This window comes from Homo sapiens, chromosome 9 (genome assembly GCF_000001405.40).
Source record: "Homo sapiens chromosome 9, GRCh38.p14 Primary Assembly".
NCBI classification, from domain to species: Eukaryota; Metazoa; Chordata; class Mammalia; order Primates; family Hominidae; genus Homo; species Homo sapiens.
The window spans coordinates 118,592,099-118,606,660 of record NC_000009.12 but is presented as its reverse complement, the minus strand read 5'-3'; the positions used below and the strand labels follow the sequence as shown (position 1 = coordinate 118,606,660).

At 38.2% G+C, this 14,562-nt stretch overlaps 1 long non-coding RNA gene across 1 annotated transcript; it reads left to right on the top strand.

The window, feature by feature from the left end:
* Window positions 1–9,488: 9,488 nt before the first annotated feature.
* LOC105376249 (uncharacterized) lies at window positions 9,489–13,666 on the top strand. The gene is made up of 3 exons (XR_930297.2): window positions 9,489–9,520; window positions 12,445–12,574; window positions 13,474–13,666. It is a non-coding gene; the product is annotated as an uncharacterized LOC105376249 (long non-coding RNA).
* Window positions 13,667–14,562: the final 896 nt, after the last annotated feature.

Genomic DNA, 14,562 nt, shown 5'->3' with positions numbered 1-14,562 from the left:
CTCCATTATAGTTTAGCTCTAAAGGAGACATCCCTGAGCTAATATTTCAAAATAGCTAGAAGAGAGAATTTGAAATGTTTCCAGCACATGGAAATGATAAATGTTGGAGGTGATGGATATCCTAAATGCTCTGACTTGATCATTATACATTCTATGTATGTAGCAAAATATCACATGTACTCCATATATTTATGTCTAAATATTGTATATTAATTTAAAAAGAGGAACAGAAATAGTTTAAGATAATCTGTATTTTTTGTTCATCATACAACTAATAAGTACTAATTGCTTTTAAGACACTGGAAAGATACAGAAAAAATATGCAGAGACAGTCATAAACATTTTGGATTCTTTCCTTTTGCTCTTACATATAATATAACAGAATTATATTTATATAGTAGACTACAGTGTAGTCTTATAATACATTATACTTTGGAGGGGTTTAACATTTAAATTAAATTAAAACAAATTATCAGTAATTTTCATTTTTTCTAATACTCTTAGAAACATCTTTTATTTCTGTTTTTAATAGCTTTATTGAGGGGCAATTGATACATAAAATACTGCACATGTTTGATATCTACAATTTGACGTGCTTGAACATATATATACACACATGAAACCATCCCCACAATCAAGGTAATAAACATACACACCACCCCCAAAAGTTTCTTTCCACTCCCTTTTTTTGAGTGTGTAGTAAAAACGCTTAACTTGAGATCTACTCACTCAAACATTTTCCATGTATAGTATTGTTTTGTTTTGCTTTGTTTTGTTTTTTGAGACGTAGTCTCACTCTGTCGCCAGGCTGGAGTGCAGTGGTATGATCTCAGCTCACTGCAACCTCCGCTTCCCGGGTTCAAGCGATTCTCCTGCCTCAGTCCCCAAGTAGCTGGGACCACAGACACGCACCACCATGCCCAGCTAATTTTTGTATTTTTAGTACAGATGGGGTTGGTCAGGATGCTCTCGATCTCTTGACCTTGTGATCTGCCCATCTTGGCCTCCCAAAGTGCTGGGATTACAGGCGTGAGCCACTGCACCCAGCCATAGTATTGTTAACTATAGGAGCCATGTAGTACAGCAGATCTTACTCATCTTGCATAACTTAAACTTACTCATCTTGTATAATTTAACTTCACACCCGTTCAGCCATTTCCCGTTGTCCACTCTTCCAGCCACTGGTAACCACCATTCTACTCTTCGCTTTTATGAATTTGACTATGTTACATACCTCATTTAAGTGGAATGATGCAGTATTTGTTTTTCTGTGACTAATTTCATATAGCATAATTTCATGGTTGTTAACATTGTAAAATTATTCAGTTTCACAAATACATATTGAATCTTCAACCAGCATTGTACTGGGGACTGGTTCTGCACAGTTAGTTGAGCCAGCATAGCTGCTACTGGCCTTCAGCTTGAGTTAATCATTCCCCTATTGTTATAAATGAAATTTGTTTACACATTTTTATTGTGCATATAAGGTTGTGGTAAACATTTCAGTACATAAAATTTTTTCTGGTTGTAGGATTACTGCCTCATGATATATTCCAGGAAGTAAAATTATTGCATCAAAGGGAAAATAAAAATTTTTAAGACCTTTGATATCTCTTGCCACACAAATGAGATGAAGAAGTTCACAAGTTCATTCCAAAAAGTGGCCAACACCCAGGACACACAATCAATCACTGTGACTTTGATGTAAAATATATTAAGTAAAAAAGGCTGGCAACGATGTATAGATACATTTTTCTCTAATATGTGCTTGCTCTATGGATGAGACCCAAGTGAAGCTATCTTGTCCTCAAAAGGGGAAGAAATTTAATATTTACTTACTTGGGGTTAACTATGTGTCAGATACTACTTTACATTTGCTATTTTATTTATCACAATATAAAAGCATCAACAAATCAATTGATAAACTTTTGCATGTATAAAAGGCTGTAGTTTATATAGTGCTTTCATTTGCATGATTTTGTTTATGACTAACACAGTTTGTCCATCTAAAAATGTGTTTTCATTTATCTGTATTTCCCTCGAGTTCTTTCACTGAATAAACTTGTAGGTGATTTTTTAGAATAATATAAAAATATTCAAAATGTGATTTACATTTGAAAAAGGAGGGAAGAAAAGAAAGTCAGCGAAAATGTTTTAAGGGAACTTTATAAAAGCATTTGAAGATTTGAAAGGCGATTTGCCCTCCTCCTCAACAATTTCCAACAAAAGCTCAATTTGGTACTTCTCCTTCTTGCATGTGTCCCTTTAATTTTGTGGGACTTTAGCTTGCCTTCTTTTCTGATATACCAATGAAAGGGAAAGTCAGACAATGGGACTATATTGATCTGAAATGCTTCCTTCTCTTATTCCCCTCCCACCTCCTCCTCACAACTAGATATCCATCCCAGAAACACTTTTCTTTCTGATAATGAAATTCTATTATTGCAGTTAATACTGTCAGCTATTCTATAGGAGGATGTGTAAAATAAAACAATTTTTTTGATGTAAAAGACCCATTCACAGAACATAGATTTAAAAGAAAGAGAAGAAAATTGCATCTTAAAGATAAATAACAGTCAACTTCTGTCCAGAGTAGTAGCAGCCAAATATAAATAAAGATTATTTAGTGAAGTTCTTGAAATGCTTCTCCAGGAGGTACAAATAATGTCAGTGAGTGGTTTAGGCTGTGAGGCTGTTGAACAGAAGATAATAGAAATCTGGTTCGTAGTCAGATGTTTGATGCTATGAAGATAAAAGCTATATAGTGATAATAGCAATAATTATAGCACTCTACCGTCTATGAAATAGACCTATTTGCTGGCTTTAAGTGCATTCATAAACAAAATTTCATTTAGGTGTCACAGAAATCCTGTATGGTAGACAAATCAGTTATTATTAAGTCATCTTGCAGACAACCAAACTCGGAAAAGTTAATATTTGCTCAAATGACCCAGTTAGTTAGTGTGGGAGCCTGAATTAAGTCCAGGTTTTATAAATCCAATTCTATTTATTCCCTCCTTTTTATAGCGTGATGGGAGGTAGGGGGGCAACTTTGTGAAGGAGGAGACTATTTGTATATGCCTCTATTATCCCTGAACTATTCACTGTAATCTTTGCTGAATCAGGGAATGTGTATCAGAAGATAAAGACAGAGGATGGAATATGAGAGACAAATGAATGTCCTTCTTATTTTCGAAACATGGAAATATGTTGAGTTTGACAAAATAGAGACTGGTGGTTTTGACACCCATCTTAAGCATGATTCTAGAACAATAAGTTGTTAGAAAGATTGAGAGGTCCCTGAGAGAGCTGCGATGGCATATTCACCTTATCTCTCATTATCTGGGGCTCAGCTTGACAGTGGTTAAAGGGAAACCAGTGATTCCTAGGGCTCAGCATAGTTTTATGTAGTAAAACTCCTGGCTGTGGGCAGTATTTTGAGGTGCCCTGAAAGGACCATAACTGCTTAAAGTTCTTATAATCTCCACCAACCTCCTCCAGTTACTTATATGAATAAATATAGAATGCTCGCTCTGCTCACTGCTTTAGGAAAAGTGTCTAGTACCCGGCCCCTCCAAATTAATTGCTATCTTCCACATAAGATTTTCAGAGCTGCCTCTGTGTTAAACTAGCCTCATTTTCTCCTATATTAAGTTTACTAGACCAGAGAAATTTGGTAGAGAAGATATATCTGCACTTGAGCAAGGCATTTGTCAAATAGCTCTCCTAATATTCATGTGAAAAAGGCTAGTATAATTAGAAGAACTAGTGACTGGTTGAATAATTTTATCCAAATGAATTCATATGTATCTAAAGTAAAATTTCTAATTGGGTGCCTTGGGAGGGGGTAGGAAGTAAATGTATCTTTCTGTTTTTAGCTTGAACCTTACAATTGTGACAAATTGTGACAAAAATTGGAGTTGGGTTTTTTTTGTTTATTTGTTTGTTTTTGTTGTTGTTGTTTTTGTCTGAGTAGGAAAGACTCTTCCCTTAACCCTTTGGAGAAGTGCTCATCCCAGGTGATTCTAGGGGCACAGACAGTCATTTTATTCCCACTCCTCTGGCCACCAGCATAGGCATAGGATCCAGAGAACCCATCACCTCTGGATCCAGTAACTAATGAGATCCTTTACTATGTTTCAAAGCCTGTTCTATAGTACTTAGTGTCTTCATAATCTAGCAAAGTTGGGCATTATTCTCCTCTAGTTTGTAGTGAAAGAAAGTATAGAGGGGGAGAGGGATCGTTTTTACATTTACTCAAAGATTACTCATTTAAAACTTCTGAAAACTGATGCATACCTATGACATTTTGTTTTCCAAGCTCTTCGCCCAGGATTGAAGTTTCCATTAGGCACAGTAGGCACAGGCTCACAATACTTTTAGGGGCGCACAAAAATATTTTGATTTTGATCGGTTTTTAAATAAAAAGAAGAAAATATATAATAATATTGAATCTATAACAATGAATTCAGCCTAGATTGTATCCTTGTTTATACCAAAGTGGCCAAAAAATTTATTTAAATATTTTTTATGGGGAAGAGTTCCCCCATGCAAAGTACCTAGGACATACAAAAGGCATGATGCAACCCTGCCTCCATGCCAGCCCTACTTCCTTGCAACATGCAAGGGAGAAGAGGAATTATATGTTTAGTGGAGAGTGGTTGGGTATGAGAGAGGAAGATTGGAACAGTGGAAAATGTGTTGGAATAGATTAATGAAGAACAAAATGGGCCTTTTGCAGAGCAGAAGGAGGTGCCATGGCTCGCCCATGCTTTGTGCTTACTTTGCTTGTATTGTCTCAATATCCTCAAGAATGCAATGGGGTGATTCCTATCTTTCCTGGCTCCCACATAGGTACCTGGGGGGCCTTCAAGCAATTTTTTATTAACTGATCAAGAATGATTCATTTTTGTTTTTTCTGAAGACCTAGTCAATGAACTTTTTTAAAAACCCAAGCAGTCTGAATGTATCACCAATAGCTACAGCAACTGATATTTGTGTCATTTAACTACTTCATAGTTAAAAAGTGCAGGCTTGGCCGGGTGTGGTGGCTCACACCTGTAATCCCAGCACTTTGGGAGGCCAAGGTGGGCAGATCATGAGGTCAGGAGATTGAGACCAACCTGGCTAACATGGTGAAACTCCGTCTCTACTAAAAATACAAACAAACAAACAAAAATTAGCCAGGCATGGTGGCATGCGCCTGTAATCCCAGCTACTTGAGAGGCTGAGGCAGGAGAATTGCTTGAACCCGGGAGGCAGAGGTTGCAGTGAGCCGAGATCACGCCACTGCACTCCAGCCTGGGTGACAGAGCAAGACATCGTGTCAAAAAATCTAAATAAATAAATAAAAGTGTGCAGGCTTTGGATTCCAATAAACCTTTGTCCAAGTCCAAGTCCCACCCTTTCTCAGCAATTCACAGCCCAGATATCTGTATTTTTGCCAGTGCAGTCTTAAATTATAGTTTTCAATTATGTTTTTATAGAGGAAAGGGGCCAGGATGGCAAAATAAGTTATTTAAGTTTCCCAGCAGTATCCTTGGCTGTTAGGGAGATACAGAAAAACCATCCCAGAGTTGGACACTCTGTAGTTATTCAGTAAATGCTGGCTATTGTCTCTATTTGTATGTACCCCCATCTTGCAGATGAGAAAACAGATTCAGATAGCAAAAATGAATTGCTCAAGATCACTAACAAAAAGGCAGGGTTCAAATTTGGTAAAGAGTCACTGAAATGGCCGAGGCGTCTCTGAAGGTGAGACTGCTGGCAAATACATCAGAAGATTGTAGGTTGCTGTGAGAAGTCAAGGATTAATATAAGCTCAAGAGAAAACTCCTCCTACCTCTTATACCTTCCAGTCCATTTTTTTTTTTCCAGAGACAGAATTTCACTTTTTCATCCATCTGGAGTACAGTGGCACATCATCGCTCACTATAACCTCCAACTCCTGGGCTCAAGCCATTCTCCCACTTCAGCTTCCTAAGTCGCTGAAACTACAGGCTAAAGCCACCATACCTGAATACTTATTTTTTCTTTTTACTGATTTTTTTTTTGTAGAGATGGGGTCTCACTATATTGTCCAGGCTGGTCTCAAACTCCTGGCCTCAAGTGATCATTCTGCCTTGGTCTCCAGTCCCATTCTCATCTGTTATTATTTCTGAGTAGCCAATAGGTTGCCTGGATTATACATGTTTATTGGTTCTGGCTCTGTTAGCATTCTAAAGATTTCAGATTTTAGTTCTTGTTTCATTAGGAAATTTCCAAGGAGACCAAAAGAACATGGCCATTTTTAATACAGTTATCTCTTATTTACCATTTTTACTATAAAACTCCACCAAGTTCAGAATTATAGTTACGTAAACCACATGAGATTTTAGAGAGTTATGATGTAGTAATATAGTCATGCATCGCTTAACAATGAGGATAGTTTCTGAGAAATGCATTATTAGATGATTTTGTCATTGTGTAATCATCAAAGGTGTACTTACCCAAACCTACATGGTATAGACCACTACACACTTAGGCTATATGGTATAGTCTATTGCTGCCAGACGACAAACCTGTACAACAGGGTACTGTACTGAATACTGTAGGTAATTATAAATTATGGTAAGTATTTTTGTATTTAAACACACTTAAATATAGAAAAGATACATTAAAATACAGTATTATAATCTTGTGTGACCACCATTGTATATGTGTTCTGCTGTTGACTACAACATCATTATGTAACACATAACCGCAATTACAACAATAATAAAAATAATACTCAACCTTGACCTATCTATAGTGCTATATAGTTTGCAAAATGCCTTTAAATGTTATCTCATGCCATCCTTACAATCATACTGGGAAGTAGTTAAGACAAGTACTATCATCCCCAATTTACAGATGAGAAAATTGAGGCCCAGTAAAGTGAATTGATTGCCTAAAGTTATATATTTTGAGCAGTCTCATATCCACGATTTCTGCTTCTGCCTCCATATCCTTTGTGATAATCTGGTAAATTTCCAAGTATTTCTGTAGCCATTTTCTCAAATAACTCACAATGGACACTCAGTTTTTAGACTTTATGTCTGGAAGAACACAGGTAGTGTCTATGGTTACAATTTAACATGACATAATCAATGGTGAATAAGAACTTTCTCTATGCAAAACAAATTGTGTAATTTTACTGGAAGAAAAAGGAATGGTGAAAACATAGCTCTTGCCCAGAAGAACTTAACTATTTAGTAAAGGAGGTAGATATACTGATAGCAAATCACAAGTAAAAGCATGCTGAATTAAGAATCATAGCAAATACACATGCACACATCAGGATGAAGAGAGGGAAGAGAAATTACTTCTTATTAAGAGACTGGTGAAAGATTATAAAATAACAACACTGTTAGGCCTTGAAGAAAAATTATTGATAGAGAAAGAAGAGAGAGAACAGATTAAAAGAACCACCATCAGAAAATGTATGCATGCAAGTACCTAACATGCTTGCACATTGGCAAATATTGTAATTCCCATTTTATGTAACACATCAGCCAGCATAGGCACAGGAGCGTTTATCAGCTTCTCTAAAGTTTTAGATCCTGAAAGCACTAGATGTAACTTGCTTCTCAATCTGATGTTCTTCCCACAACTTTAACCAGGTCCTGAGAGGCCTAACGTGTCTTTTTATTCAGGGCTCAACCACTGAATTTCCAGATGCCTCTTCCACTCTTTCTCAAAGATTCACAGGGTGACAGTGGTTCACACATCTTTGCAGCCAGTATCCACTTCCCATTGTAAGCCATCTGTTCACATTAGTGAGGAAAAAGAATCTGTACCTTACCTCTGTTTGTTCCTACTTATCCCTATTACCAAGATCCCACAGAGCAAATGGCCTTGTTATGTGGTAGAAATAGGCAATAAAAATATGTTGCGTTTGGCATTCAGAGTACTTTAGAACCAAGAAACTCCAAGTAGCTTTTAAAATATTCATCATGTTTAACCATATTTAATCACCGAGTTAACCCATGGCTAAAGAACACTAGACGGGGAATAAAAAGAACTGGGTTCTGGCCACTATTCTGCAAGGTCACCCTTGCCAAGCTTTTCCTCTGTGAGCCTCAGGTGCTCATCACTTAAAAAAAAAAATCATGAACCAAAGCTCATGGGCTGTAAGATTCTGTGCTAATTGTCTAAATGAAGGAATCACAAGGGCATCAAATACAAAGATTTGGTTACACTTCAGATATCTTTGGCAGGCTTAGAATAAGCAACCAATCTTTTCAAAAGAAAAGTTGTTTTACTCGTTTGTCCCAGTGACTCTTGGGGGAAAATTGCTAAAGAATAGAGACAAAGAATTCTGTCTTTGAGGTATTCTGTCCTTATCAAAGTCAGTCCAAAAATTCATTTTTGTATCTGATCTATGTTTGGAGTCAGTTCTCTCTCTCTCTCCTACTTGCTCCTCTGCCTTTCTTCTTCCTCATCTATTATAAGGCAATTGTAGCATAGTGAGCAACTCTGAATATTAAAGACAGACAAGCACAGAGCCACAGGATTTCATATAGCATTTGTTACTTCCTTGCCATATGGGCTTGCCTGAATTACTTTGCTTCTTTCTGAGGCTTGGTTTTCTTATCAATTAAATGGGACTAATAATACTAATTTATAGAGTTGTTGTGTGGGTTAAGTAGGATGAAGTATTTAAAGAGCCAATATAATGCCTGGCAAAAAGAACCCAGTAAAAACTCCAATGAGAAAATCGGTTAGATATCCTTCCCTTTCTATTTTTAGAGGCAATCAGTAAAGTGACTGAAAGTGAAGTCAGACAGACCAGCCTTCAAATTATGCCTGCACAGCATCTACTTACCACCTCTAAACCTGAACTTCTTAAGCTAAAATGGAGATCACTCTTTCTAATGGGAATTTTTGGGAATGTAAAATAAGGTAACGACTCTGTAATACTTTGTGTCTGGCTATATACACAGTAAAGTTTAATTATTTTCATTGTCACTGATTATTCATTTATTACCTCATTTGCATTCTCCATTAACAGTAGTTCCAGCCTACAAAATATTTCCTGGGCACTTAATAGGTGCTAAGTTCTGTGCTGTGCACTGGGCACACAATGACATACATGTTCTATTAATTCACTTACCCAGTATAAGCTTATAGTCTAGAGGTAAAAAAATAGACATATAGATATTTCTGATACAATAGCCTAAGTAAGCACAAGAAACTATGGAATCCCTAAGAAAAATCTTTAACTTGACTAGAGGAGTATGTTCAGAGTTGATTTCTTCAAGGAGATGATCAGTGGGTTGAGTCAAGAAGGATTAACAGCTATGGCTTGGCCAAAGGAGGATAAGAAAATGTGTGTTCTAGAAGGGAGAAAACCAAAGAATAGTGATTCTAAAGCTTTGTGTTCCATTAGAATCACCTGAGGAGCTTTGAAAGCTCACGATGCCTGAGCTTCTTTCCCTACCAGTAAAGCAGAAGTCCTGGGGATGGGACTCAGACATCAGTGCTTTCAAAAGCTCCACAGGTAGTTTCAGTGTGCAGCCAAGTGGGGAGCCCCTGGCTTAAACCAGTGTGTGGATGGAAACTGTTCTGTCCTGGAATAAGCAGGGGCCAATGAGGAAGCACATGAGTAACAGGGCACAGTCTTTACACTTGACTTATGTGTGGTGATTAGACATTCGGGAGTTTAAAAGGAGAGAGCAGAGGGTCAATCATATTTGCATTTTGGAGGGATTGCTTGGGATGTAACTCAGTACTGAATTCCAGAGGAAGCAAAAATTTTAAAAAAAGTAATGTGATGTGCAATCTTCAGAAAGCATAGAATCAGTCAATCACGACTGGAAGAATGTGCTTTAGAAATTCCTTAGTGACATGTGGGGTTTATAAATATACTGATGCCTAGGGCTTTCCTCAGACATCAGAAAAAGTTTTAGGGATGTGGTATTTTGGTATTTGCATTTTCATGACGTTCACCTAAAGGGATTGAGAACACCTGCCAATGAACCTGAGTGACCATCTCATGAAGGATATTTAGTCACTGAGGTAACAAAAGTTCATGGCCTATGTGTGGGTCAGGCTGGGTTAGTAACAGGGTCAGTTTTTGGATAGAAGGTTACTAGAGCACTCAGCCGTCTCTAGTAACCTTTGATCTATCTACCTTTGATCTAGTAACCTTTGGCCCGTCTCTCCTTTGATCTATTTTTCTCCTTGCCCTTCAAAGTGCTAATGCCTACAATTCCACCTGTCTTTATTTCTATCAAAATCAGTACTCCCATTAAAAAAAAAAAAAACCTGAAATGTGCCACTGACCCTTGACTGAGACTGAAATCACAGTCTGAATCTGGAACAAACAGTGGAATGGAAGGGCTTATCTGCTCTGAAGAGAGCTATAAGTTTCAGCAAGTCCTGGGTATGCGGGGGAGACCTCTTTGACTAGGGTGGGGGTGTGATCACTTACTACATACATACATAAAAGCAGACCCCTATCAGCACCATCAGGCAGATCAAGGATGGATCAACTCATTAAACAGCAGCTAAAGCCCACACTGACATGGGCACATCTGACTCAATACTTCTTAGGGAAAATCTGGGAGAGGGATGCTCTATCTTGACCCTAGTGAAGAGACACAGACCAGGAGGAGACAGGCAGCCACCCCAAACCTCCTTCTCCTAGCTTCTTTAAGGAGCCAGACTTCTATAAGCAAGCGGCCAGTGCATTTGTATGACTCAACAGTGACACCCAGTGACTCTCTCTGTCAGTCCCAGGTGGCTGTTCCCGGAGGATCTTCTGAGGAATACATTTCAGCCTCCATTACCTAGTACTGAATCAGCAGAAGCAATCACATCAAATTCAGTCTTGAAAGAGACAAACATAATAAAAAATCCCAGTTTGTATTAACATAATCATCTAACTGTTGAAGCATATTCTTCTCCCCTGTTGGGCCATGTCTGATGTCAAACATAATACCACCATGTAGTACTGTAGCTTCTTGATGTTAGAATCACAAGGCAGTGATTATTTATAATGTAAGTAGGACCATAGAGACAGGCACGTAACAGGGCCACATCATTACATATTGAGCCAGCCGAATCTAGACATGGAGAGAGAGATTAACAATTTGTATTATAACCAGATAGAAGAGACCAGCATAACCCATGGGATTCTAAACTATGGCACACACACACACAAAAAGATAACCTGAGCACTTTTAGCCTAGAAAAAAAAAACTTCTTCATGGAATGGGGAGAAGAGTTGGGATGCTTTCTTTCGGATGTCGGATGGGCGGGTAGAAACAGAAGGGATTTTACTGGTTTTATTTGGTCCCAAAGAGCAGAAATAGAGTTGACGAGTGGAAAGTACAGGGAAACTGCTTTACGTTCAACATAAGGAAGCACTTTATAACAACTGGATCTACTGGGAAATGAAAGAAATTCAGAAAGCAGAGAATTGTATGTCATTTAAAACATAGTGCAGGCATGTCTTTTAATAATTCCAGTTTTTAAAAAAGGGAGAATGGATCAGGTAAATAATTCAGTAACTTTAATAAGTCAAATGACAGGGACGTGGGTGGTCAAGGGTGCAGGAAGATAATTGGGCATAGCATTTAGGGCTGATTGAAATCTTTCTCCACTTATCACTGTTTTTTAAATAATTAAAACGTGTTTCCTTCCTCATTCTCATTAGACCAGTAATCTTTGTTTATCCATTTACATAGTGGAAGATGCTTGCACCTTCCACCTACATTCACCTACCTGTCACATGAAAAACAGATACCCCCTACTTGCCTCTTCCAGTTTCCTTTTCCCTCATTGTTTCTATACCAAGAACAGCTTAGCTAGAATCAGGATCTGATCCTTAGCGCAGTCAACAACGGCTAGGGAAGAGATCATTACATTATACAAGTGTAGATAAGTGATGATTGTCCAATGCACTGAATGATCTATTGTCAAGAAGCTTAGAAGGAAAAAAAGTACATTATGGGAGGGAATGAGTGCACAGAAAGGCTGTGCTGTGGTTTGAATGTGTCCTTCCAAAAGTCATGTAGAAACCTCATCCCCATTGTGGTAGGATTAAGAGGTGAAGCCTTTAGAAGGTGATTAGATCATGAGGGTTGTGCTTTCATGAATGGAATTAGTGGCCTTACAAAAGATACTCGAGGCGGCTCTTTTATTCTTCTGTCACGTAAGGACACATAGAAAGCACCATCTATGAAGCACAAGCCCTCGCTAGACACCAAATCTGTTGGCACCTTGATCTTGGGCTTCTCAGCCTCCAGAATGTGAGCAATAAATATCTATTGTTAATACATTATGCAGTCTAAGATATTTGTTATAGAGGCCTGCATAGACTAAGATAGGCTAGGAGACTAAGATGTGCTATTTTCTCTTTAAATATTAACTTCCCTGAATCTCTGATTAATTTTAAATAATGTCAAATTTATCTCCCAGTTTAGCCATTCCTGTTATTCTCTGCTGTGCCTTACCCTAATCTGCTAATTGGAATGGATTACGGAAAGAAAAAAGTATAAAGAGAAAAATGAAACAACAGAAGGAAAGGTGCAAATCGAGAAACTGGAAGGTACAAGAGTTAGTTTGGGGTACTGACTTGGTTGTAGACTGGTCTCCAATGAGAAAAAGCATAAGTAAAAAATTATGAGGCTTCCAGTTCAAAATTGAGTTAGTATTTGGTATAAAATATACCTGGACTAGTGTTTGAGGTCCAAGCAGCTGGAGTCTCTGGTAAGTAACTAAGCAGGGTATCAAGGCTATAGCCAAGCAAGTTGGAGTTCAAGATTAGTCATCAGATAAGGCAGAGATATAATCGACCTAGAACTGAGGCATACACCCTGTCTAAACCCAAGTGTCCATTGAGATAGTTTCAACTACTGGAAATAGCCTGTGCTATATATATATATATATATATATATATGGATTTCAATTTAGGTCTTCATGGGTAATGTAAATTGAGGAAAGTCACTTCCCTTTCCTGAGCCTTAGTTTCCTCATTTGTAAAATGGGAAAATGGGATTATAGGTACTAACCTGATGATAGGATCCTACTGATTTAGGGATTAGAAAAGACATTATGTTTAAAGTGCCTAATACATTGCCTGGCACATTGATAATCGTTATCAATGTTATGAGGAACCTAGGTGGGAACTGGGAAGAAGTTGGGCAATGGAGCCCATGCCCACAACAATTCTGTGCGTTTGTAGAAATGTTGGATATCGAAATTTCCTGACATAGTCCCCATATGTTCAGTGCCCTGGTAAAGCTGATTTGACAAAAATTCTTGATATCAGCATTAGACAACATTGAGGAATGCAATGGCTTCTTTGTTGCACATATATTTTCCTTTCATATTCTCTTACTCTACCAATTTTTCTCTAGTCTTTGCTATAGCAACCAGCTGTACTCAGGTGTAGCCTAATAGCACCTGATCTCGGCTGCACTGCATATATCTTGCTTTTTCTCCCAGGGCTTATCTGGCACAATCACATGGATCTACCGTAAGAGCTTGATCAGCCATTCTGATGTCTGCACACACTGGGAACAGATAGGGTGTTAACATTTCCTGGAACAATGCTTTACCAATGGGCAGGAACTAGTAGGTAAGTATTCTCTTTTTTCCAATCTCAGAGATTTCTAAGGCACATTCCATACAGCTGTTGAAATATCACAAACAGGATTAAGCTCCAGTTTTTCTGTAGTTGTAATCAGCTCAGTAACCTTGGATTGGCTGCTTTTCTTCTTTCCCAATTTACACTTCACTAATCCTCCAAGCCTGTGGCTTGGAAATAAACCTTCCCTGGTTTATTTCTCAGGCCATCCATCATGTACCACAGGAGCAAATGACCCCAAATAAACTACCTCCACAAAGGCCCGTGTCTCAGGCTCTGCTTTTTAGGAAGAATTCAAACCAGAATTCTACAATGCTAGCATAGCACTAAGAGCTGCGTAAGACATCAGGGATAATTTAGTCAATTACCACATTTCATGGATGGGTATGCAGAAACAGAGAGAATTAGTGACTCCTTCAAAGTCACAAACATAGGCAACTTGTGCAAAGGGGAACCCAAAATGTGAAAGGGGAGCAATTGGGGGATGGGAGAAAGGGACTGAAGAGAAAAGAAAGACAAAGTTGCCTGGGTGATGGAAAGAAGAAAGAGCAAGCCATTAAAACATCTTAGCACAGTGGGGATGACATGTATTGAATTTACCCTGTCAGCAGAGCAGAGCGCAGCACCCACCCTGATAAATGCCAGGTCCCATTGCTGACACTTGATAAAGGTTCCATCTAACAGCAGAGCAGCACTGAGAATGGGGTGATGGTGGCACTTGCTGTTTTAATCTCCACTGCTTTCCAGTGTGTAACATGGAGTAGGTGCTCAATGAATGTCTGTGAAATAATGGGCAAATTAGTGAGGCAAAACTCCTTCAGCATCTCCATCATGAATGCCCACATACCTGGCCTTTCTGTGTGCAGTTAGGTATCTAGCTATATATGAGTGCACACTTTTTTTTCTTTTTTATTATTTTGTGCTGTACATTAAAAAAATAGTTTCAG